Below are 25,532 nucleotides of genomic sequence, written 5' to 3' on the forward strand. Positions count from 1 at the left end.
GCAGCACATGGGTATATGTAAACCATTTTTTTAAATTGGCTTATAGTATAAAATTTGTGAGGAAAGAAATCATAAGGAGAAAATGCATTCAACTGATTTTGTAACTACAGTATTTTTCTAATGATCATGAACCATAAAAGTAAAAGTTTTCTGATGATGGCTGTTGCCTCTGATGATGGCTATTGCCTGCCTGAAGGCTGCACCCAGGTGTGGGAACCGCACTGCTTAGGGCTTGTGGCTGAGAGGCCTGTTGACCTGGTCTCTCAGCTCCTTCCACCTGCCCTCTGCTGCCTTCCCATTGTCCTCCCCTGAGTTTAGGGTGGGGTGACTCATTCTGCTTGGCTGCCTCCATGCCTGGACAGAGTGGCGCCTGCTACCAGGCCCTCCAGGTGGTTCTGGTACTCAACCCACTGGGAGTGGAAACGGCCCATCCCCGGATTAGAGCACACATTGAGGCTTGGGTTTGAATCCAGGCTGTGCTCTTCGGTCACTGTATGTGCTTCTTGCTGAGCTGATCTCAAGTGTAAGACCACATAAGTAACTACCTTTTAGGGATACCCCCGAGGCTGAAGTGAGACCACAGGATGAACCATTTTCAAAGCACCTGGCAGTCCCTGTGTGTAACTCCATTGTGTGTACCCCCACCTGCTGCCACTGCTGAGACATCCAACCCTCATTCCCTCTCCCATCTCCAGTGACATAAGGTCATTTACAACCTACATTTATAATTTATAATGTTTGCAGGTATTAAATTCCCATCCACTAAAAAAGGTAAATATTAGAACATTCTGTACTGAAATTATGATTTTGAAAAGAAATTATCTTGGACTCTGAAAATTACCTGAGGTATTTGTTTCCTAATATTTTTCCTATGACAGTCCCAATTTAAAGCAGAGTCCCTTCTTCCTCAAACTGAGCTAATTTTAATTAGACTACTATTTCTCCATTTGCTTTTCTCATAAGGCTTCACTAGTTTTGAGTGACTGCAGATGACTTGAGTAATGGAAAGTGTTTTAGAGGGTCATGCACAAAAATAACAAATGCTAATTCAGGCAGAAAACAATGGAGTTTTCACATTTATGCATACAGAGAAAATTTATATTTTACTAGAATGCAAAAAAAGGCATGAAACCCCCATTCAGGCTAATATTTCTTGCCAATTATATTTTATTTTTTACCAATTATTTAAATTAATCATCTCATATTTCCCCAATATCAAAATTGAAATATAACTCATTCATTTCCCGGTAAAATATTACTCATAGAAACACATAAATATAAATCAGTTTTGGCTTTACTCAACTTTAGGGTTCCCAGATAAAATACAGAGTGCCTACTTAAATTTGAGTTTCAGATAAACAAGAAATTTTTGTTAGTATAATTATGTCCCAAACATTGCAGGGGACACACTTATCCTAACAAATAGTTCATTTTTATTAGAAATTCAGATTCAGCTAGGCATGTTGTATTTTTATTTGCTAGATCTGGCAACTTAACTCCTTTGCCATTTTTATTTCTACAAGTCACAGGAAACTCCACGAACAAGCACTCTTTTTTGTTATATAAAAGTACAGATACAGAAAAACCAGTTATATATACAGACTATGCTTAAGGAAACGTAATGATTATATATACTGGGGTCTGAAACTGCAGGATTCTTTAGCCATTTGTAATTGGGTCATGAAAGATAGAATTCTTGAAAACAAAGACATTGCTTAGGATGTAGTAATTGATAAAAGTTTAGCAGCTTCATTCTAATTTAAATTAGAGTGCCTGAGAAAACTAGCAACATAATTTGGCAAGATCTAAGGCAATTACTTAAAAAGAGGAGCAGGTGTAATTGAGCATGCAGTCTTGTCATCTTGTCATTCCAAGAGCAGGTAGATTCGCCATTGAGGAAGTGTGGCTATGCCAAAATCATTTGTAGAAACATAATTTTATGTGTGTGCTCTGTGGAGGAAGAAGATTGTCAGAGGGAGGGTCGGGGTTACAAACATAGGAATGTGGTTCCCTAGGTGAATGCATATGAAAAAGGACCCCAAGCCAGTGGTGAAAAGTAACACTTTTCTTGATGAAACTATCTAAAGTAAACGAATACCAGGACCAAGATTTAAAAGGCAGAAGAAACATTACTTGTTTAGAGAAGTGATCAAGATTTTTAAAAATAGATGTAATATACTTGGCAATTTAATTGTAATGGCTTGTCAGGTGTTCCTGTTAAGTCTACAATTTCCCCCTTTTGTTTTTCATGGCTTTTAATCTTAATTTTCTCTAACTACACAAGATTCACAAAATTAAGCTGTTTGGTAGGACTGCAGTATTTATTTTGTTTGATTTCCTTTTTTGATCATTTCTTTACACGAACAGCAAATCTCTTCAGCAACACCTGAAAAGATTTACCTACTCTTCATAATAAAAGACTTTCGGTTAACTTCTGAGGTTTTAAAACAACGAACTGTCAACCACCAGAATGGCGAACTCTGAACCTCAAGCAAACTGAAGAGAAAGTTAGCACATCTGCCTCCCTCTAACAGAGTTAAAAACACTTCCCTTGAATTAATATATTCATTATATATTTCCAAGGAGAGTCAAATGACAGGTTCTACAAAGGTTGCCTTAACTGGAGTACTTTAAAAAGTTACTTAGCAACAATATAGCTAGCTCTACACATGCACTCCATATAAAACTGATGATTTCATCAGATGGCTTCTACCCAGAAATTCAGACATTAGCATCAGTTTGGGTCAACACTTTGCTTACCCCTGAATAACCTGAGTCCTTAAACAATTTATAGTTCCTTACATGGGGTCTTTGTTGGGGCCTTTCCTGAACATAGAGGGCTATTCCTTTTTCCTTCAAATGTATTCTAATTCAAATCCCTTCTTCACTGAAATGGCATGACACAAACCTCCAGGCAATGGAGTTTTTTTTTTTTTTCCTTTCAAAACAACAGACATTTGCTAAATTTCAGAGAAGCACCTGTATTAATTGTATTTCCTGCTCATGTGTTGCTTTTGTTTACAATAAAAGAATTCATCTCAGGTGAGTTAACCTTGCTTTTTAGAGAGGGCACCTGCAGTTATCTTGGTGAGTATTGTAAATCAAAACATGTTGAGCCTTTAAAGAGGGAAATAAAGAGGTGCTGACAAGAGGGGATGCCAGTAGGATTAAGCGACTTTCTCACCACTGGTATTATCAGGACAGAGAACAACTGAGTCACATTAAATTACAGGGGGGAGAAAGAGTCCCAGAAATTCCACAGATGGGATGACTGGCTTACCTAAGACGCCAGTCAATGGGAGGTTGACTGGCGTCTTAGGTAAGCCCGGGAAGAGGAGGGGTCTGTGAGGAGGTATGAAAAGACAACTCCCTCCTTAGCCTCGGGCTTCGATAATTGACCAAGATTTTTCAGCTTGTGATTTGATCCAGCCAAACCCTGTTAGAGGCACTTGCCCCCAACTGAGACCAAGACTGAAGTGAATAAGAATTAGGTGAGTCACTTGTATGTACAATACGTGCATTCACATCTATTAGGCTAAATGACACATCGCTCACTTTAAGCACAGGCAGCTGGAGATTGTCATATTCTGAAAATGACAACTGTTATTTATTTATTGAGAATATTTATACAGGTTCTTCCTGGGCACGGAGAATGCATTTTTCAGCAGCACCATGACACCGGCTGTCACGTGCTGTCTTCCGTTGGAGAACGGAACACAGAAAACCATTAGCACAAGCAGAGACAAAGCACACGTATTCGGGGCAGCAATCTGTAGGAGCAGAGATTTAGAAGGTTGAAGGTGGCAGGTTTTTAAGTATGGCCTAAGTCATTTTCTTAACAGGGTTTCAAGCTCCTCTGAGGAGAAAAGGATTGTTTTTCCACACAGCATGATTTCGGTAACTGCCAGAGGACCAGTTTTGAGGCATCGATTAATTTGGTCGAAGGGTTCATATTATACAACTCAGGGGGCATGTTTGTTAGCTGGTAAAGAAGGAACGGAGAAAGTTTAGGACCAAAAGCAACCCTTCTTGTCTGTTTTCCACATATTACCGTCCTTGAAGCTCTAGAGAAGGCTCTTCCCTCCTCTCTGCTGTAATTCTCCCATATTAAAAAAAAAAAAAAAAAAAAAGGCACACTTTCTTAAAACGTCATTTCTCCAAGTAGGGGCCCCCATTCAAATTGTCCATTCCTGGGCCACATGATAGATTTACTGAATCTGAATATCTGCGAGAGACCTTGGAATGTGCATTTTAAGAAGTTTCCTCAATGTTTCTTTTGCATTTTCTTCCAAAGATACAGTAAGGTTATGTAAAAGAGTGCATTCTGAGCTTCCCAGATTCTAAGTGCTGGTTGATATTGCGTTCACAACAACACATATTGCTTGATGGCAACTCAAATCACTGCAGAATATCTACACATACCCTACATTTCTTAGGGGGTACTATGTTTTCTTGACTATACATGTAAGTGTGAATGACTAAATATAACCTTTTCCAGAGAATACTTTACATATACATACCTCCTAGAAAAATTCAATTAAACATAAAACATTTCTCTTACAGCCACCTGGAACTAATTTTTTGGTATGTTGGCCTGTTCCCCAATCAGATGAAATTTGCAGAACCCAGTGTGCCGTATGTGAAGTTGACCTCCCTCCTCTTGCTATAGTAAATGCTGGAGAGTAATTCTTCTTAGAAATAGATTAAGACCTCCAGAAAATGGGGCTTTAACATGAATATCAAACTGCATACACAAATTTAAATTTCAGATAATTATTTTATTGGCAAAGACTAAAGAAATCCAATATCAAAGTGATATTTTCCTTATTTGCATTAGAAATATTTTCCCATTACCAAAATGAAAGAAGGTCGTTAGGAAAAAGAATGACTGATATGAATAAGCATTTTTTTTTTAAAGAGAAGTTTCAAATCTTTCAATTCTACTTGCCCAGAGACAACTACTCTCAACACTTTGGTACTTATAACATCTATGTTGACTATGTAGATAAAAAGTTGGGTTTGTTTTTTTTTTAATAAGCAAAACTGGAATTTTTACCCCTCATATTGTTTTGTATCTATTTTGTTTCATGAAAAATATATTATTAACAATTTTCAAATCAATAGATATAGTATTAGGGAACATTTTAAGATGTTGCATGCGTCCATTATGTAGATATGTAATAAGGCATCTAACCAACACTTGGCTTTTTTATATTTAGATTATTTCTAATTTTGCTGTTATAATTAGTGAGATAATGTCAGCCCCCAAAAATGTGCTGAATATTCTGTCTCCTGTGAGAAGCAGATTTATGCATTTGCAACAACCAAATGCCTGCCATTAGAAGTAGAGTGTAAATAAGCTTGTAGGTCCTGACACCAGGCTGAAAAGTGGACAGTTTCCAAGAGCCATTTCTTCTCATTTTTCTGCCACCCACTTCCCACACCAAGAGCTCCTTCCCACTCTATTCCCCATCCCACATCCTCTGAGGATTCTGGGAATATGAAAACCCCCCCACCATTAAAAAAAAATTAGCTTGAAGCTCCTGTTTCCAAATTTAAATTGAATGACTATGTCTTTGGCAATAGACTGTATGGAGCAGGGATGCATAGGTAAGTGAGTCCTGTCTATCAGCTTATCTCTTAAAGGCCCAAAAGCAGATTGTTTTTTATAACTCTAATGAAGCTTAAGCTTCATGGTCTCTTGCTTGCATGGGCACCTTCCAAATATTAAGTGTTTTTTGTTAATTGGCAAAATTATTCTAACACTGAGAAACAAATTTGGTAAAATGTTTTGAAATGCTTTAATAAAACAAGTGAGAATTTCTTTTCAGTATTCTCCTGATTTGAATGTTTTCGAAGAGTACCATTTTTATCATCTATTAATGTATTACAAAACTAAAAGAAAATTCAGAAAAAATAATGGAATATGAAACTAAAAACACTAAAAATGAGTGATGAAATCAATAGAAATTACTGTGATACAGAGCAGCTACATAAACAAAAGAATTTTCAGATTAAAACAAAAGGAGTAGTTTATTAAGAAAGATATATTTCACTGGTGTCATCTATAAAAATGAATATATTTCAAGTCAAAGTGTACTTAAGATTAGTTACTGCAAAATAAAACTTAAAATGCCCTGAAATATTATAGCTCATATATAAAAAATTTAATGAACATTTCCCCAAATTTAACAGAATTCTAAAAATTTTTAGAATTTACATGAAGCTTCTATATCATGAAGCTGAAAGGAACTTTTCTCAAACTAGGTAATATTTTTTTTAATCAATGATGCTAAATAAAGTCTGAATCATCTTTCTTTTCTCTATATAAAAATAGTTAGGCCGGGCACAGGGGCTCACACCTGTAATCCCAGCACTTTAGGAGGCCAAAGTGGAAGGATCACTTGAGCCCAGGCATTTGAGACCAGTGTGGGCAACATGGCAAAACCCCATCTCTACAAAAACTTAAAAAACTGTCCAGCATGGTGGTGTGCACATGTAGTCCCAGCTAATTGGGAGGCTGAGGTGGGAGGATGACTTGAGCCCAGGAGGTCAAGGTTGTGGTGAGCCATGACTGCGTCACTGCACTCCAGACAGAGTGAGACCCCATCTCACAAAAACACAAAACAAACAAACAAACCATTGTCATATGAAAAGGCAATCAAAGACTCTGTTGTCCCCAAAGTAAGAACAACAGCATTATAGGAAAGTTGGGAAGTTAATTTCTAAAAGTCATGTTATTCTTCTTTGTTTTGTTTTTCGATTTTTAGATTTTTTTTTTAGGGCCAGATGTTTATAGATTTTCAGCTTTTAAAAAATTGTTTCTTATTCCAAATATTCATTTCTGTGCTTAATTTTATATTCATAAGTGTTCTATTCTGTTTGTTAAAGAAGACTTTCCCCCTAACTTGTAATGAGCTTCAGACTCATCATAACCTGAAGTGAACGCTGAGGTTGTCCAAACTCATAAAACTCGGTTGCATCCATGTTCATTTACACCAAGAAGGTGCTTATGGCCAACAAAGAGGTGTGTAGCCCTGTTACACACCTCTTCGATCAAAGAATAGAGCAAGCTATGCAGCCTTTGCAGGCATAGGGTGGAGGGGAGGGAGTTGGGAAGGATTCATGCAGAAACTGTTCATAGGATGCAGTGGACTTTGGAAATTCTTTGCAAACAGGTAAAGTAAGTTTCCTAAGCAGTATGTTAGGTCTCTAAGTGGTGCTTAAACATATCACAAAGGTAGCAGATGAAGGATCAGATTGTTAGGGAACAACTTGCTTGTAAAACCCAAAGAGCAGTGGTTGATCTGATAACTGGCGGATTCTTAATAGCTCAACACAAATAAACCACTTGTAAATGCCCCTGGGCTGGCCTGCCTTACAACCCTTTTCACATGGCAGTAATATATGGCCAGTAATTACCATAATGAGCCACCAGAAGGCATCTATTTGTTAGCCCTGGAAGAGCTTGCATCTGGCTTTTAGGTGTGAAGCAAGGAGAAGCAAATGACAAGAAGCATTTGAATATACATTTCCTCTGGGCAGCTACTTATTTGAACAGCTGCTTATGAGGCACACAGCACCATTAAGTCGGTCCAATTCAGGAGGCCGTGTGCATCTTGATTTCTATTTTTTTCTTTGAAGTATAGGACCAGCCTATTTTCTCCCCGGGTAATAATTTCTCCAAATTAAAAGTGGTTACCCGACTTAAAACCTGTGACAAGTCTATTGTGTTGACCTCTACAGCTGGGAGAGTGTGGAGGTTGCCAGGGAAATGGGCTCTAGAAACACATGGAACACACTCAGAAGTCACGTGCTAAATTGTTTGGTTTTAGATTAAGTTTCACTGGAAAAATGATCCAGAGCTTTCTTTCTCTCTCTTTTTTGTCTTTGTCAAAACAAAGACTGTATAACAAAGGCAACATTTTTTAGCCATCTGCTGAAAATACAAAAATATTTTCATCAAAATAACAAATTGGTGGTTTGTTGTGTCAGCTTGTACATTTAATAATTCCAATGATAAGCATTCCCCAGATATCAGAGGCAAATATGCCATCTGAAAAAAGAAAGGAATCTAGGTACATAAGAAATGAGCTATAAAATTACACTGAAGCTGGTATTGTAACAGGAGAATGGGGAGTGTTTTGAGGGGAAACTAACATAGAAATGGACAGGAGGTGAAAGGCTTTGAATCCTTGTAATGCTATGGCTAGGAATCAAACTAAAGTGTTTTCTCCTTTGCCACTGAGCATACTGTCATAGTCAGGGCCGGATTATTCAATGCCTTAACCATCTCTGCTTACGAAAAGATATTAGAAATGCTGTATATGTCTTGAACTATTAGGAGTATACGTGAAATAATGCATCTAAAACACTCAGGAGCATAAAACAAAGGTCCCTGGCATTTCTTACTGACCCAAAGTTTACCTTAGATAAAGAGATTTATATGGAACTTGGAAGAGGCATATCAGAAGTTTGCCTTGACATTCGTGGATCACTGAGCATTCCAAATGCCCTTAAGAAGATTATCAGGTGGTTGTGTTTTCTGAAGTTTCCTGATCTCTCCTTTTACCTAGTGGTCAAACTGTAGGCATTTGGTAGCTTATCCTTGAGATATTAGCAAGACACAAGATGACAGGGTTTGCACATAAAATACAGGTCACTATTATATATTCTTCCCATAGATTCATCAGCTTGCAATTTTTTTGGACTCCTGCACTTTATTTATGTTTTGGTTTAGTGAAGAACTTTACAATTATATATAAATTTCTCATATAGTATATATGATATATATATATATATATACACACACACACACCACATACACATGCACACACACATAGTCACATGGTTAAAGGATCTAAAACTGTATACAGTAAAATGCCTCCTCACTCTTGTACCCAATCCACCTAGTTATCTTCTGCCCATTGTTCATGCCCTAAATATTGTTATTGGTTTCGTGTGTGTTTTTCTTATATTTCTTTTTGTACATCCAAGTAAACAAACACATATATATAGTTCTCACCTACTTTAATGCAAAAGTCAATATGCTCTGCATGCTGTTTTGCATCTTACTTTGTCACTAAACATATCTTTGACTTAAATTTATCTCAGTACATGGTTTCCTCAGTCATTTTCATAGCTGCATAATTTCTTGTTTTTGAATGAATTATAATTTATTTAATCCAAATCGCAACATTTTAAAGTCCTGGTCACTCTTAGAAACACCATACAAAATATGCTGAGCCAAACTATAAATACTTTCATTTGAATTAAACTTTAAATTGTTATCTACCTGCACCCTGAATTTTAAAACTCAAAAAAAGATAATGAACTGGTAGAGTCAGGGATTATTAGAAAGAAAAATCTAATTTATGAGTTTGAGCTGGATAGAATGCACAGAATTAGAAGAGGCAAAAGCCAACTGAGAACTAAATATTGTATGGGGTGTTTGTCATGGCTACCTTATTTTTTTTAAATATTGTATAAAGATTCAGACTTGGATTTTTTTTTTTTTTTCCCCCAAATAGAGGAACAGCTGCCCTACATGGCTTTGTCTCTAAGACCACAGAACTAATGTTTCTTTAAGGTCTTCCAACCTCTCTGATCCTACTTTTACATTTAATTAAGGTAATCCTTCAATCTACATCCTCTTGCAGACCCCATTCTCTTTTCTTTCTAAGTTGTTATCCATGTTCCACCTGAAGCAGGAGATCATATTGCAGTTTTGGTCCTAAGCTCATTAAAGAAGAATGCATCTGGCATTTCTCTGGGAGGAAAATGGGCTTTCAAGTTCTAATTGGAAAGATCTGAAGAGTGTAGAACTACCATGTCTTTTTGACCACAGGCCCCAGACCACTGAGTTTATATGCTCACTTTGTGGAAAACGTTGGGTCTATGATCTTGACTGAAGTTGTTGTTTGCCTGTTAAATAAAATTAGATTAAAAAAATTTTTTTAAACTTCCATCCTGATGTGAGCAAAATTGTGTAGGTATGTGCAGTACCTCCATAATCTCTCTTGTTGAGAAAATTGCACGAGGTTTGTGGATAAACATAAAGTATTAGAAAAGTTCAAGCAAAGAGAGATACAACCAAGAGGGAAGCTGTGCCAACAGAAAGGGGGAAAAACAGAAAAGAAATGAGAAAACTAGAGGGGCAGAGGGAGGGAGGAAGGAAGGAAGAAGGAAGGGAAGGAAAAAGGAAAGGAAGAGGCTCTCTTAGAGCAGAGATTGCTTGCCTTTCTCTTTGCGGCCTGTCACAATGGAAGGTTTAGGGCTTTATCAGGTGTGGAGTGCTAAAGCATAGCACTTGGTTTTGCCTGAAGGAAAAAGCTAATGAACAAGTATTTTTTGCCTTTCTCTCTCTCTCTCTCTCTTTCTTTCTACAAAGGTATTGGTGACTGAAAGCCTTTTCTTGCAGAAACTGAAGGGACAGAGGACTAGTAAAAACCAAACCAAAACAACAAACAGCAAAACAAAACCCAGAGTAATAATAAATAGTTCCCTGCCAACATATTTACCTAAATGTCTGGGGTCACTCCAACACTCCTCTGTGTCCATCTGCTTATCGGCTACTTGCCTCATTCCCAAGGATACCTAACAAATATTTGCTGATGAGACTGGTATCAGGTTGTATTACGTCCCCACTTGCTTCAACACACAGCATGATAATGTCTCATCTTTATAAGTATTGTAAGTATTAAGTTATCTTTCTGACAATGCTTCCTTTCTCAAGCCCTCTTTTAAAAATGACATGAATTTAGCTCTTACAAGACTTTAAAAGAGAACAAGAGGACTAGCAGATTCCCTTCCTGCCCTTCTGACCCACACGCATCCTGGGGTCAGCGCCCTGGCCTGTCTTTATGTAGTCACTAGAAAATAGGTGCCAGATTCTCTTCTTTTGACTTAAGCCCTGGCTCTGCATGTATTTATTTTCACCTGTTGGAGAATGCAGTTCCCCTAAAGTATTGAGCCAAATATACAGATCCATTCTGAAATCATCATAAAAGGATTTATTTCCTTAAGAACATGTTAGCTTATCTAAACATCTGCTACTCAAAAGTGATTACTTGGGAATTTCCAGGTCACACAGGAACACGCGAGTCTGTTGCTACTGGATTAATTTAGACAAAAACCAGCAACCAAACCTTTTGGGGTGGGACAGAGAGTGCTTTAAAAATTAGTCTGGAACTTTAAAAATGTGAATTTACATACTTTTAAATGCCATTTCTGATTTGCCTTTATTTTAATCAGTCTATATATTTGGTCTTTGTGCTGAAGTCTTAAGTAGCAAATATACAGAAGCCATGCAAGTCTCTGAAAAGGTTAATTCTTATGTAGCAACAGCAGTATTTTTAAGTGAGGGAGAGAAACATAGAATTTTAAAGAATGTTTTGGAGAGAAATGTTTGAGAACAGACTCCAGAATTTAGGAAATATTTATGATATAGGCAGTAGATTCAAAGAAAGCTATAATTTTGCTGAAAGTGATTTAGCAGAAGGGGAGGAACCAAACTTTCTAGAATGAGTTAGCAAACATTTGGTTTGGTGGAAAGAAAAGAAAATATCAAGCATCTACTATATGCCAAGCATTTGGCATTTATTATCCCATTTAATCCTCATCTATGATGACTCCTCTCAAACAGATGAGGAATCTACAACTCAGTGAGTGTGAGTAAGGTGCCCACGGTGATGGGCAGAGGCAGAATTTCAACTGGGTCTGTTTGCTCTGGAATTCACCATGCCATGTCACCTTGGTTTTCAACGTTGAATGTAAAACATGATTTAAAGCAACGGTAATGACATCCTGACAGGTGAGTGCTCTGGCTAGTGATGCTCAGTTCTAGCCTCAACAACAGAGGAGGTAGGTAGGCAAGTATTACAGTGGGCACATTGCATTCTTCCTGGATGTCTCCCTCAGCCCTGTCTCCAGGATGGAGTCTGCAATGTTGTTTTCTGGATGGAGCAAGTTTGGAGAGAGTAGTGGAAGAAATAGGAGGCAGAGAGGAAGTCAAGGATATGTCTAGACCCAACACTCCACACACACTAATTTGGTATACTATTTGCTTTTGAAATCTGGAATAGAAGAAGAGATGCTTGTACAGATTGGGTAGACCAGGGATGTTGGAGGAGGAAGGATGAAGGGGCTGCTCTGCTTCTCATAACCAGAGATCCCCAGTAGGTTGTCCATAGGCTTGACCTGTGGGTTCTTTTGTTTGGCCCACACACTTTGTATTTGTTTGTTTAAATAATTCCCAAGTTTTAAAAATCCATTCAACAATTATCTATTGGGCATGTGCCAGGTACTGTTTCAGGAACTTGGAGTTCATTAAGGAACCAGACAAAGCTGCATTCATGGAACTTATATTCTAGCAGGGAGAGAAAAACAATAAATAAAAGACATACTAAATGATTAACATATAGTATCTGAGGAAGTGAGTGCTAAGAAAAAAAGTCAATTGGGGTAATAGGGGTTTAGAAGGAGGATGGGGTGGGCTATGGGATGCCTTGTTGAGGAGGAAGAATTTGAACAAACTCTTGCAGGAGGTGAGGGTGTCAGCTCTATAAACATGAGCAGTGAGGATGTTCCAGGCTGAGGGAATGGCCAGTGCCCAGTCTCTAAGGTGGGAGCATGGGTGCTTGTTTGGGGAATAACAAGGAGACCCTGGGGCTGGAGTGGTGTAAGCAACTGAAAAGGTAGTAAAAAGTCAGGTGAGTTAATTGATGAGGGACTGGATGGTGTAGGGCCTTATGAGCTTTTCTAAGGGCCAACTTTTACTGTCACTGAGATTGGGAACACTGCAAGGTATATAGCAGATGACCTGATTTAACTTATATTTAAATATAATTACTCTGGTTTCTTTGTTGAAAATAGGCTGTAGGGAAAGAGATAAGGATAGACTCAGGAAGACCAAACAGAAATCTTTTGAAGTACTGCAAAATGAAAAATGATGCTGGATAGGGAGGTACCAGTGAAGGTTATGAAAAATTGTGGGAGTGTGAGTGTTTCAAAAGGTAAACACAAAAAGGTCTATTACATTGGATGTGGAAAGAAGTGAAAAATGACTGCAGAGTTTCTGGAATTTCTGGCCTGAGAATGATACTGCCATCAGGGAGATGGGGAGAGCTGTGGGTAGAGAAACTTTTGCAGGAAAGATCAGGAGTTCAGTTTCACCATGTTACATTAACAATGTCTGTTGGACATCTCAGTGGAGATGTCAAAGAGGATAGTGGATATGCAAGTCAGAGTTTAGGAAAGCTTCTTGGTTGAAGATATAAATTTGGGAGCCATTGGTAAGAAGAGGTGTTTAATGACATAAGCCTGAATAACAGTTCAAAAGAATGAGTGGGGATAACAGAGGACCAGACTTTAATGTTAAGAAATTTGGAAAATAAGAAATGTGTCAGAATATCCAGATTTCTTTCCTCTGTTGAAAATGGGATGATGTGGAAAATATGACCCCACATTTCTGCATGGCATCAGCAGCTGGGGCTGAATAATTGATTTGTATTCTCCTCCCTGTACTACCTCCACCCTCCCTAACCTGATCCATTTAGACAGGCTATGCACTCTTCAGCTCACCAATATCTCCGTCAGACTGGTTTTACTCATTCATATCACCTGCCTATACTCCAAAGGCATTCAAGTTTGCCAGTCCTGGTATATGCCCATGCATATAGATATTACCAATATTTCTACCTCCCACTGATGGGTAGTAACCCCTGCCTTGAGCAAATCTAGTTTTTCCCCTAATTGTATTTGGGAAATTCAGCCAGCATTTTCATGAGATGATATTGGGTCCATTGGTAAATCTGAATCTGACTTTCTCACCTAGAGAAATAAGGGGACAGATGGTACTGAGAATGACAAATAAATTTTAAAAAATTGATTCGTGATTATTTCAACATTTTCTTCCATTTAAGAAATTAATGGAAACTTCCTCAATCTTGCTCAGCTTTGAAATAGTAGCAAACATTTTACAAATGATCAAATAGAAGGTGACGTACAGCCAGAGAGAAGGCAAATAAATCAAGGGGAAAAGGATGGAGAAACAATCAGGATAAAGTACTCAGCTAAATCTGGAAGGATTGAGGTCCCAGGCATCAATCATGATTACTGTGCCTTCATAGCAGCATAAAAATGTGTATTAATTGGAACATAAAAAATAATAAGTTTAGTTTTTAACCTGACAGTTCACTTGGAAGGTAGCTCTATGCGTTGAGTGAACAGAACTTGCAAATGAGCCATAACTTTAAAGCAATATGCTGGGCTGCCTGGCTTTGAGCAAGGCATATTTTTCTCATTTGGGATTTCAAATATACCCTCCTGCTCTGAGATTTTGTGCTTATTGGTCTTAAAGGCAATGATAAGAAACTTCTAAGTGGGAGAATGGTTGACCAGTTACCAAACACACTGAGTATACTTACTATGTTGTTCTTTAGGCTAGTTGAAAAGAAAAAAGGAATTGCAGTCAAGGTTTATGATCGTTCTCAAGATTGACTCATGGAGTGGCAGTGAGCTATGGAGGAAGATGTGGCTGTCAGTCAGGACCTCCCTCTTGTTTAACACATGACCACCTGCTCATTGAGAGAGAATGGTCACCACATTTTGGGAATCTACCTCCCTACTCCCCACCCAACCTCCTCCCTGAGAAAATATCATCTTCTCAAGTGTACGCACATAAAAAAGGTAGTTTTTTTCTGGTGCCAGACCCCACTGTTTTCTCCATTTGTTGTTTTTATTTTGTTTGCTATTCCCGTCTTTCTTGGGAACTGATATCTTGAGCAATTGGTAAATGGTTCCTATAGCAACAGTCACCAAGTGAAATCTCTCCCAACAGTGCTCCTCCCTCCCTCCAACCCCACCTCAACATTTTTTATCTTTTCAGTAGTTTACATAAATGTGTTTAGGTAAAATCTCCCACAGAGAGATTTCAAAACTCATTCACTAAACTTACCTTTCCCACATTTAATGAACATTGAAAGTTACAGGATAGTTTTTTTTTTTTTAATATGGAGACGCTTCAGGCCCAGCTACCATAAATTTTGTATTTGTGGCTGCATGTAAAATTGTGAGATAACACTTCATAACAGAATAAAAATATTAAAGAAAAGTTATTTTAAGTTTATTTTACCATTTTAAATTTTGATTTCAAAATATTCCTTAGAGGACAGATGGGGTGTAAAAAATCAAGACATGAGCAAAGAAGTAATGCAATGGAGACAGCCCAGCATGAATACATGCATGAGAAGGCCAGTGGGACCAGAATCTATTGACCATTCTGCACTTTCCATCACCAGCAGTAGGAGCCACCAGCTGTGGAGACCTATTAATGATCATTAAAATATTACTTCCATAACTATTATGACATATGATAGGGACATGAGACTTTTTGTATGGAATGAAGCTGGCTTCCACATGTCTCTGGTTTGTCTGGAACAGGGTCTCTAAAGCAGAGTTTAGGAAGACATTATGGTTGCCCCCTTTCATCAACATCAGTAGGTTGATAACCTCTGATGTCCCTAGTGTCATTTCATGTAATATTATGAATTTAACATTCATGAATTTAGCAGTCATGCCTATTTATATTTGTAGCCACACCTTCATGTAAAGAGTTTTACATGCTTTGTAAGTATTCCAACTTATAAGATGCTCCAACTTATATTCCAAGCTGAGTTTAATACATTGGGGGTCATCTAGTGTATGGTGAATATCATGAACTCTGGTGCCAGAATAGCTAGAATCAGGGCCGGGTGTGGTGGCTCATGCCTGTAATCCCAGCACTTTTGGAGGCTGAGGCGGGCGAATCACTTGAGGTCCAGAGTTCGAGACCAGCCTGGCCAACATGGTGAAACCCCGTCTGCACTAAAAATACAAAAATTAGCCAGGCATGGTGGTGCATGCCTCTAATCCTAGCTACTCAGGACGCTGAGGCTTGAGAATCTCTTGAACCCAGTAGGCAGAGGTTGCAGCGAGCCAAGATTATGCCACTGCACTCCAGCCTGGGCGAGACAGAGCAAGACTCCGTCTCAAAAAATAAACAAACAAAAACCCCAACCAACCAACCAACCAAGCAGAAAGAATAGCTAGAATCAAATCCAAGATTGCCATGGTGAGGCTTAAGCAATTTACTCAACCTCCCCATGTGAAATGGGGATAATAATTGCACTTTTCTTATAGAATTGTTATGTGGATTAAATAAGTTAACATAAAAATTACATATAATTCATGAATTCATTAGTTTTAATAACCCTTCTAAACTCTTGCTTTTCCATGTTGCAATCCTAATTTAAAAGACAATTAACCTAGTGAGGAAGGTCATCAGTTCCTTCAGTCATCCTAGTTGCTCTTCAGCCTTTGGCCCTACATTGGCATTCGTGAGGTACAGAGGCCAAAACTAAATCCAACGAACTATGGTGTCTTGAATTTTTTTCCCCAAAATAAATATTTCATGTGAAGGCCAACAATGAAAAACAATAGGAAAATCATATAAAAGCATAGATTTTCAGATCATAGTCTATTGACACAAAAGTAACTCTATTTTTGGCACTGGGTGTTAGATAGCAATATTTGGGGAGCTGGTCAGGAGTTACCCTCTGACCTCACTCTGTCTGAGTTGAATTTTAAACAAAAGCTCTCCAGATATAGGCCAAGGTACATTTAGATTGGGACTGCTTCCAACTTTGGGTAAACTATTCATCTGTTTCCAGAATCTGCTTTCAAGTCCTTTTACCAGTTGAATTGATTTGCATCTATTTTTATGCAGGATGGGATAGGGGATTTTTTTTTTCTCTTGAAATAGAGTTCCTACTGATACTTGGGGTTTCTTTGATTGCCGTACAGTAGTCCCCCATTATCCGTGCTTTCACTTTTTGCAGTTTTAGTTACCTATGGTCAACCCCCATCCAAAAATATTAAATAGAAAATTATAGAAATACACAATTCATAAGTTTTAAATTGCATTCTCTTCTGAGTAGTGTGAGGCAATCTCACACTATCCTGCTCCATCCTGCCTGGGATGAGAATCATCTCTTTGTCAAGGGTACCCACATTGTACATGCTACCCTTCCGCTAGTCACTTAGTAGCCATCTTGGTGATCAGATAAACTGCTGCAGTATTGCAGGGCTTGTGTTCAAGTCACCCTTATTTTACTTAATAAAGGACCAACAGTGCAAAAGTAGCAATGTTGGCATATTGTTATACTTGTTCTATTTTATTATTAGTTATTGTTGTTAATCTCTTACTATGCCTAATTTACAAATTAAACTTCATCATAGGTATGTATGCATAGGAAAAAACATGGTATACATAGGGTTCAAAACTGTCTGCATTTGCAGGCATCCACTGGGGGTAATTGATAAGGGAGGATCACTCTAAATAGAAGCCTACTCAAGCCAACTTTAAGTAAACTAGATTTATACGGAGAACAAGGGCAAAAAATATGGATAGTAAATACTGCTCAGATTCTATTTAGCTATAGCCAGAAGGGCATTGGGTCTGTCTTATTCAGAGCAGCTGAGCCTACCACAGCAAGAGTTGCAGAAGCTCTTCCCACAGAGAGGACACCCTAACTGTGTCACCTAAACTGAGGCTATGCCCACCTTTTTGGCAAGAAGATGGGCCCACATCCATACACAACAGGCTTGAATGGAGGACATAGAATGAGAGTAAACAAAATTGTGGCACAACTATTAGAAAAAAAAGTATTTATTTTTCAGAGATATTTTTCATCCAAGTCCAGAACTGCATAATTAAAATAATATGGGACTTATTTCTTTCACTGCATTGAGGTTGAAGCATAACTCTTGGGCATAAAGTAGGCTACATTCAACAACTCCTTCAGGTTCTCTCCTGGTTCTGATCTGATTGTCAGGAACCATTATCTTGTAGGCACATTTGTACCATTTTCCCGTAATGTGTTATTATATCATCTTACATCAGTCTGCATGGAGCTTATTTGCTATTTTTCTGCCTACTCACATGTCCATGTTATTTTCTTTTACAGTTTATTCTTATTGCCTTGCTATGTCACTGTACAGAAGAGCTTTGTGGAAAATTTTATTCTAGCAGGCATTTTCTTTGTATCACTTATAACAATGTTAAGTAAGACAGATCTGGCACTAATTTATGGTGTTTATACATTTCTATACCTAAAAGTCTTCTCTCCCTCCATCCCTCCTTTCTTCTTTCCTTGCCTCTCTTTATCAGCAGGTATTTATTAAGTACCTATTATGTGCCAGAAACTGCTCTAGGTGCTGAGGATACCTTGGTGAAACAAACAGATAAAATTCTCAGCTCTCATGGAGTTTGCATCTTACAGGGAAAGATAGTCAATAACAAATAAACAAATAGATGTTGAATATGTCATGTTGCTATCATGATAGGCAGTTTTGTCTTCACTTAGTTTCATGATTTGAGTTAGTTCTTCAGTGATAACATATTTTCTCTTAAACCCACAGGATTTATCTCAAATTGGAAGGGAACCACTTTCCTGTGTTTTACATTTCATTTTGAGAGTTTAGAATATATTGAATCAGAAAAAAGGAAATAGACTGTTCACTCTTTTTGAGGAAGAAATGTTTATGGTAAAATTATCTCATTTAACAAACATTTTGTGGAGTATCTATGGAACACATAAAAGAAGAAGTTCTAGTGCTTAACCTTAAGGACTTTATAATTCAATTGAATAAAGTAGAGAAACAACTAGGTAATAATAGTAGCCAGCCACCCCACCTCATGTACATTGATTGTGCCATCCCCAGCTGCCCACAATTGGGCCCACTGAACTTCCGGCAGCTGGTCATGGAGATACTCTCTTCCTTGAGTCACTTTTGCCCATTCCCTATGTAGAACCTGCCTTGGGAGGTGACTTCCACACAGCTTTCCTTTCCAATGGGATTTTTACTTTGGGCTTAGTTTCTGAGTCCCCTGATCTTAATCTCTAGGTAGTGTTCCAGTCTACTTCTGGGGCACCTTCCCTTTTTATCCATTCAGCAAGCATTGGTTGAGTGTCTGCCTGGATCAGACATCTTGTCAAGTGCTGGAGATATTAAAATGATAGAGAAATTGCCTCTCCCCTTGAGGGACTCAGGGGCTGATAAGGAGGTGTACTTATAAAAGTATTGATGAGCCAGATATAAACACTCTGATGATGGTATGTGTGGGGTTCCTTTTGGAACTGAAGAGGAGAAAGCCCTTAGCATCGTCTGGAAGAGAAGAGAGCATAGGAAATAACTCCCAAGAAGTGGATACCCGAGATGATTCTCAAAGGAGGAATAAGAAGTTACTTGGTAGGCAAGAAGGAAAGGACATGTTGAGCCCAGGGAAGTACATAAGCAGAGGAATGGAGATTTGTGAAAGAGCTTTTGTTAGTACCCCACCAGGGAGACTGGAGGTTCCAACTCTGAATTTGAGTGTGTTGGTTGGAACCCTACTTCCGAGCATCAGTGCTTCCCACCTGTTGGCACAAGGCACTACTTCCATTTTTTTTTTCTTTTTAAGAATGATCCTTTTGTATTTAAAAAGTCATTTTATTGAGATAATTTATATACCATAATTCACCTGTTTAAAGTGTACAGTTCAATGGTTTCCAGAATATTTACAAGGTTGCATAACCATTGCCATAATCTAATTTTAAAGCCTTTCCATAATCCCATAAAGAAGCCTTGTACCCACTTGGAGTCCAGTCTCCATTTTCCCTCCCTCACATACAGCCCTAGGCAACCACTAGTCTACTTTCTGTCTCCAAATATTTGGACATATTACATAAATAGAATCATACAATATGTAGTCTTTTCTGACTGGCTTTTTTACTTAGCTTAATGTTTACAAGGTTCATCCATGCTGTAGCATGTACAATACTTCCCTCCTCTTTATGACAGAATAATATTCCATAGTATGTATATACTGCATTTTGTTTATCCCTTCATCAATTCATGGACATTTAGTTGTTTCTACTTTTTAGCTATTGTGAATAATGCCATTGTGAACATTTGTGTACACATTTTTGTGTGTACAAATGTTTTCATTTATCTTGGGTATATACCTAAGACTGAAATTGCTGGTTCACATGGTAAACAGAAATTGTATAAATACCCAATCGTATTTAACTTTTTGGGTAGCTGATGAAGTATTTGCCAAAGTGACTGCACCATTTGTCATTCCTATAAGCAATATGTGAGGGTTCCTGCTTTTTCACATCCTTGTCAGCACTTATTATCTTTTTATTATAGCCATCCAAGTGGATATAAAGTGGTGTCTCATTGTAGTTTCTGTTGACCTTTCCTTAAAGACTTATGATATTGAGCATCTGCCTGTGCCTATTGAGCATTAGTGTGCCATTGCTTCTTAATCCAGTGATGCAAACATTATCTGAACTATGACATAGATGGTAGTGGTGTTCTGTGGGCCCAGCCTAGCATTAAGGGCAATCATATTTCATCAATGTTCCAGTGTAAGGTCAAAGCCCCTCCCCATACCATGCATTGAGATATGAAAATACCTTTTTATGTTTATGGTAATTTACAAAGTAATTTCTAATGCATTACTTCACTTGGATGTTAAAATGTATATGTGAGGTAGACATTATGATCATTTTATCGAGATTTAAGATAAAACTGAGGCCCAGAGAAGTTAGAGAATTTCCAGAGAGTCATACAGCTAGCAAATCTTAGGATAAGAACCTGAATGTGAGTCTTCTTAATTTAACTACAATACCATGCATGCCATTATGATACAGCATTTGACCAAAAATGGTAAGGGGAATGTAAATATTTGTACAAAAGTAATTGATACCTGAGGATTGGAGGCAGGGGACCCTTCTTGTAAGAGAAGCCTCAAAGCCTTATAAATAAATCAGGAGGGTAGCCTATGAGGAAAGGGATAGAGACAAAAGGAAGCAAGATGTATAAGGAAATAATAAGGAGAATGGATTTTAATTGGGAATGGTGAAAGATGAGATGTGCAAGTATGATTGATACCTGTTGTTTTGTCTTGTTTCTCCTCCCATTCTAACCACATGGTTCAGATGGAAGAATCTGTGTTTTAATGTAACCTCACCTTCATTCCTGACTAAAGATGATTGGTCCAGATATGATCACCTGATCCAGGCTGGACCAGTTAAAGAGCTTTCCCAGTAATTGTGAAATTGAGAAAGAAAAAAGCATGTTAGTCTCTCCCCACTGAGGGAAACCATAAGTTATAAATTCCAGCAGGTTTTTTTTTTTTTTGAGACAGTTTTGCTCTTGTTGCCCAGGCTGGAGTGCAATGGCACAATCTCAGCTCACCGCAACCTCCGCCTCCTGGGTTCAAGTGATTCTCCTGCCTCAGCCTCTCAAGTACCTGGGATTACAGGTGCATGCCACCATGCCCAGCTAATTTTGTATTTTTAGTAGAGATGGGGTTTCTCCATGTTGGTGAGGTCAGTCTCGAACTCCCGACCTCAGGTGATCCGCCTGCCTGGGCCTCCCAAGGTGCTGGGATTACAGGTGTGAGCCACCAAGCCCGGGCTCCAGCAGCTTTTGATAATCAATTTTCCTATCCTGAGGGAGAGAATTATCTGCTATGAAGGTGAATAATATAGACACCAATGATACTCTAGGTAAGAGACAAGAGAGGTAGGCAAAGTCCTGCTGTGCTCAAATATCTGGCTTTAATTGTTCTTCAGATTCAGCTACTTGTGTCAGTGACAATATATCTTAAATATGAAAGATAAAACGAATTTCTAAAATTAATCAATGCCATAGACCTTGCAAAAAAGTAAGACTCATTCTCTTCCAATATAGAATTGGAAGTTTCTACAGTCTTGGTCAATGGCTTAAGTGGTTCAGAAAGGTTACCAGAGTCTACAATCTTTTGCATAAAATACTGAGCCTGGGGGCAGTAGGAGATTCAAAAATGTTCACAGCGTTGCTGTTGGCCCTAGACTGCTTATCATTGAAGGAGTTCAGGACATATCATCCTGAAATATGCTGCTTTGGTATATTGATTATTTTAAGCTGAAGGCACTTGAAAAGCAGCAAATGCTGGGAGAGACTTTCTCTAAACATCCCTTATTTGCCTAAGGGTAGGTCCAGGTCCTCTAAAAGGAAATCAATTGTCTTAATTCCCCCGACCCCCAGGAGTTTCATCACCTAGGGAAGATTGACTCATAGAGGAAATTAGAAGTTGACACAACACCCAGACAAGCTTTGTTACAAACCATCATATCTCCCATATATTCTTCTAAGGACTCTCATTTTTTCTAAAAATCATTTACTCTCTCCTAAATGACCTACATGCCTCCCTCCCTTTTCTCCATTAAGATGGTGTAGAAGCTCTCAAATCTCATCACTCTTTCAGAGATTCACGTGCTTTTCCCGCATGATGCCCCTGTGCATGTAATGTTAAAAATGAATAAATTTATGTACCTTTTCTCCTATTGATCTGCCTGTTGACAGTTTATTGGATAAACCCAGCTATCAAATTTAGGAAGGTAGAGGGAAAGTCTCTCCTCTCCTACATCACCTAGGAAGGAAGAGACAAAGTTGTTAAAAAGGGCTGGCAAGTCCTCCATGACAGTCATGCCATGGAATATGAGCAAAAGTTACATGAGTGATGAAGACCAGAAGTTTTGCTTAGAGTGAAGAGGAAGGAGAAACAGTTATGACTTGTGATGGGCAATAAAATAAAGATCCATGGAGGAAGAAAGCAGATCTGGAAAATGAGTAGGATTCAGATAGCCATAGAGGATGACAATGAAAAGTCATAGAGATGAGTTTGATGAATACCATGTGTTTTTGAGAATTTCACTTGTTTATTTTCATAGGAACTTTTGGGTCAGCCTAACATACCAAGCAATCACAGAATCCCCTTTAAAGCAATTGGATCCCATTATACTCATGAACAACTCCTAACAGTGTGGAGCTTTTCCATCCGGTGCTAGCTGGCCCAACTGTATTTTAATATAAATTATTATCTTGTTTACATGACTGGGTCCCTAAGCTGATCGGATCTACTATCTAAAAGTCAATTCATGACTCTTAGGTTTGGCTAGGTTTTTTTCCAAACATATTTTTATGCTGCTAGGAAAGAGCCTCATTTTTTCCTTTCTCTTCCTTACCCCCCCAAATAAAAAAAGCATAGTATAATTTCTAGCATATCTCTAATTTGCTATGTATAATTGGTTTGCCAAAATAATGACCAGTAAGTACTAATAAGCATTATTGCAACATTTTATCATTGAGTAGGCGCTTCACAGTTTATAAAGCAGCTCCAAATACATTCTCATAGTAGCCTGTGATGTAGACAGGGCACACATAATGAGGCTCAGAGCAATTAATAGGCCTGCCCAGACATTGCACTGGGTGACTGTTATCCTAATTCTGCTCCAAGGAAATGGTAAATTCATCTGTAAAAAATGTCTGGCACCTGATATTTGCATCCTGCCAACCAAGACATAGAATGGGCTGCTGTGACTTTCTTCTCTGGGTTAAGCCTCTAGCCTTTCATTAGCCATTAGCTAACCTAGGCCTTGATCCCACCCTTGCCACCAAACTGGGAAACAAGGGCATTTGCTGTGAATCTCAGAGTTGGGAGGAATGTTAGTTACCATCTAGTAAAAGGTTCCCAAACCAGCTGCACATCAGAATAACCTTGTAATTAAAAAATTGCAAACCTTAGACCCATCTCCAAACCTACAGAATCAGAATCTCGAGTTGAGAGGTGGTGAGAATATAGTTGTTTTTGTTGTTGTTGCTTTTGGTTTTTTTTGTTGTTTATACAGAGTCTCGCTCTGTTGCCCAGTCGCCCAGGCTGGAGTGCAGTGGCGCAATCTCAGCTCACTGCAAGCTCTGCCTCCTGGGTTCACGCCATTCTCCTGCCTCAGCCTCCCCAGTAGCTGGGACTACAGGCGCCTGCCACCACACCCGGCTAATTTTTTGTATTTTTAGTAGAGACAGGGTTTCACCATGTTAGCCAGGATGGTCTCGATCTCCTGAACTCATGATCCGCCTGCCTCGGCCTCCCAAAGTGCTGGGATTACAGGCGTGAGCCACTGCACCCAGCCAAATATAGTTGTTTTTAATTTAAAAAATTAAAACTTTTTTAAATGAAGAAAAGTACAAAAGAAAGTATTTTTTTTAAAGTCATCTGTACCTGCAAACTAAAGTGAGCTAATGTTAACATTTGATCATGGTTGTAGAGAGAAAAAGTTGTGTTTTAATGGAAAACCATGCATTGTCTAGACTCTAGAGGAGACCTTTTGGGGTTGTTAAATTCTGATTCTATGGAGATATTTTATAACTCTATATATTGTAGATAACTGATAGCTATGCAAAATAATTCTTGTCTATAGACATAAAAATTCTGTCTCTTTTATCCCAGAGAAAAAGTTTGCACACGTTTTAATATTCTTGATCTATAAATGTATCCGTTCATGGATTCTCTTTTGAGCTCATTGTAACATCTGCCTAGTTTTCTTATTACATTAAAGAAAACCTATAACACATTTATTTTATATGTATTTGAGAGTCAGGAATTCATTTTTTGAAAATTCTCTTAGGTTTTTTTGAAATTTTATTTTTAATTGACATATAATTGTGTAAACATTGTAAAATAATCAAATCAGGCTAATTAGCGTATCTATCACCTCAAATAATTATCATTTCTTTGTGGTAATACTATTTACAATCCTTGCTTTTAGCTATTTTAAAATATACAATACATTATTATTAACTATAGTCACCATGTTCTGCAATAAATCACCAGAACAGGAAGACCTGTCCAGCTGAAACTTTGTACCATTTAGCCAATGTCTCTCCTTTCTCTGCCTGTTCCACTCCCACCCAGCCTCTGGTAACCACTGTTCTATTATCTACTTCTTTGAGTTTGACATTTATAGATTTGACATATAAGTGATGTCATACACTATTTGTCTCACTATGCCTCGCTTATTTCACTTAGCATAATGTCCTCTAGGTTTATCCATGTTGCCACAAATGACAGACTTTCCTGCTTTTTAAAGGATGAATAGTACTCCATTTTGTATCTATACCACATTTTAAAAATCCATTTGTCCATCAATGGGCACTTCCATAGTTTCTATATCTTGGCTATTGTGAATAGAGCTGCAGTGAACATGGGAGTGAAGACATCTCTTCAACATACGAATTTCAATTCCTTTGGATATATGTGCAGAAGTGAGATTGCTTGGTTTTTTATTCATATCCATCTACTGTATTTTCAAAATTCTCTTGCTGGGTAACATTCTTATCTGTATCTACTTGAGGATCTTAAATATTCTTATTTTAAAGTCATATAGAGATTGTTCCATTGTTTACATTTTGCCATGTGTGAATTTATCTATTTATCTCCTTATACTTTGTTTTCTTAGTTTCATTCTTAACATTAAATTTCCTAATATGCTCTTAAATTTCGGTTTGTAGTTTCACCTTGAATAGAAAGTGTTTTTATTGTTTTGTGGTTTTGGTCTTTGGTCTCACTCTGCTCTAAGCAGTTTTCTAGATAAAGTTCCTCAGCCCAGAAGTAGAACCAG

The 25,532-nt window shown here is 38.0% G+C and overlaps 1 protein-coding gene across 4 annotated transcripts in view, besides 4 other annotated features; it reads right to left on the reverse strand.

The window, feature by feature from the left end:
- SEM1 (SEM1 26S proteasome subunit) overlaps positions 1-25,532 on the reverse strand; it is a 228,221-nt gene that overhangs the window by 107,265 nt on the left and 95,424 nt on the right. The gene's annotated exons all lie outside the window — the stretch shown is intronic.
- Positions 2,403-3,310: an enhancer, noted in NCBI's record as "OCT4-NANOG-H3K27ac hESC enhancer chr7:96220605-96221512 (GRCh37/hg19 assembly coordinates)". NCBI's record gives its function as "activates a minimal SCP1, AML or CMV promoter by ChIP-STARR-seq in naive H9 embryonic stem cells {active_cell/tissue: H9 hESC(naive)}" and the evidence as "EXISTENCE:reporter gene assay evidence [ECO:0000049][PMID:30033119]".
- Positions 2,403-3,372: a biological region, named in NCBI's record as "eDlx#16 enhancer in SHFM1 region".
- Positions 2,873-3,372: an enhancer, noted in NCBI's record as "eDlx#16 fragment used in the reporter transgene". NCBI's record gives its function as "activates a minimal E1b promoter in the forebrain, olfactory bulb and caudal fin of transgenic zebrafish {active_cell/tissue: fin | forebrain | olfactory bulb}" and the evidence as "EXISTENCE:transgenic organism evidence [ECO:0001131][PMID:22914741]".
- Positions 7,234-8,150: an enhancer, noted in NCBI's record as "eDlx#14 fragment used in the reporter transgene". NCBI's record gives its function as "activates a minimal E1b promoter in the forebrain, olfactory bulb and trunk of transgenic zebrafish {active_cell/tissue: forebrain | olfactory bulb | trunk}" and the evidence as "EXISTENCE:transgenic organism evidence [ECO:0001131][PMID:22914741]".

The sequence above is a fragment of the Homo sapiens genome, chromosome 7, assembly GCF_000001405.40.
Source record: "Homo sapiens chromosome 7, GRCh38.p14 Primary Assembly".
In the NCBI taxonomy this organism is placed as follows: domain Eukaryota; kingdom Metazoa; phylum Chordata; class Mammalia; order Primates; family Hominidae; genus Homo; species Homo sapiens.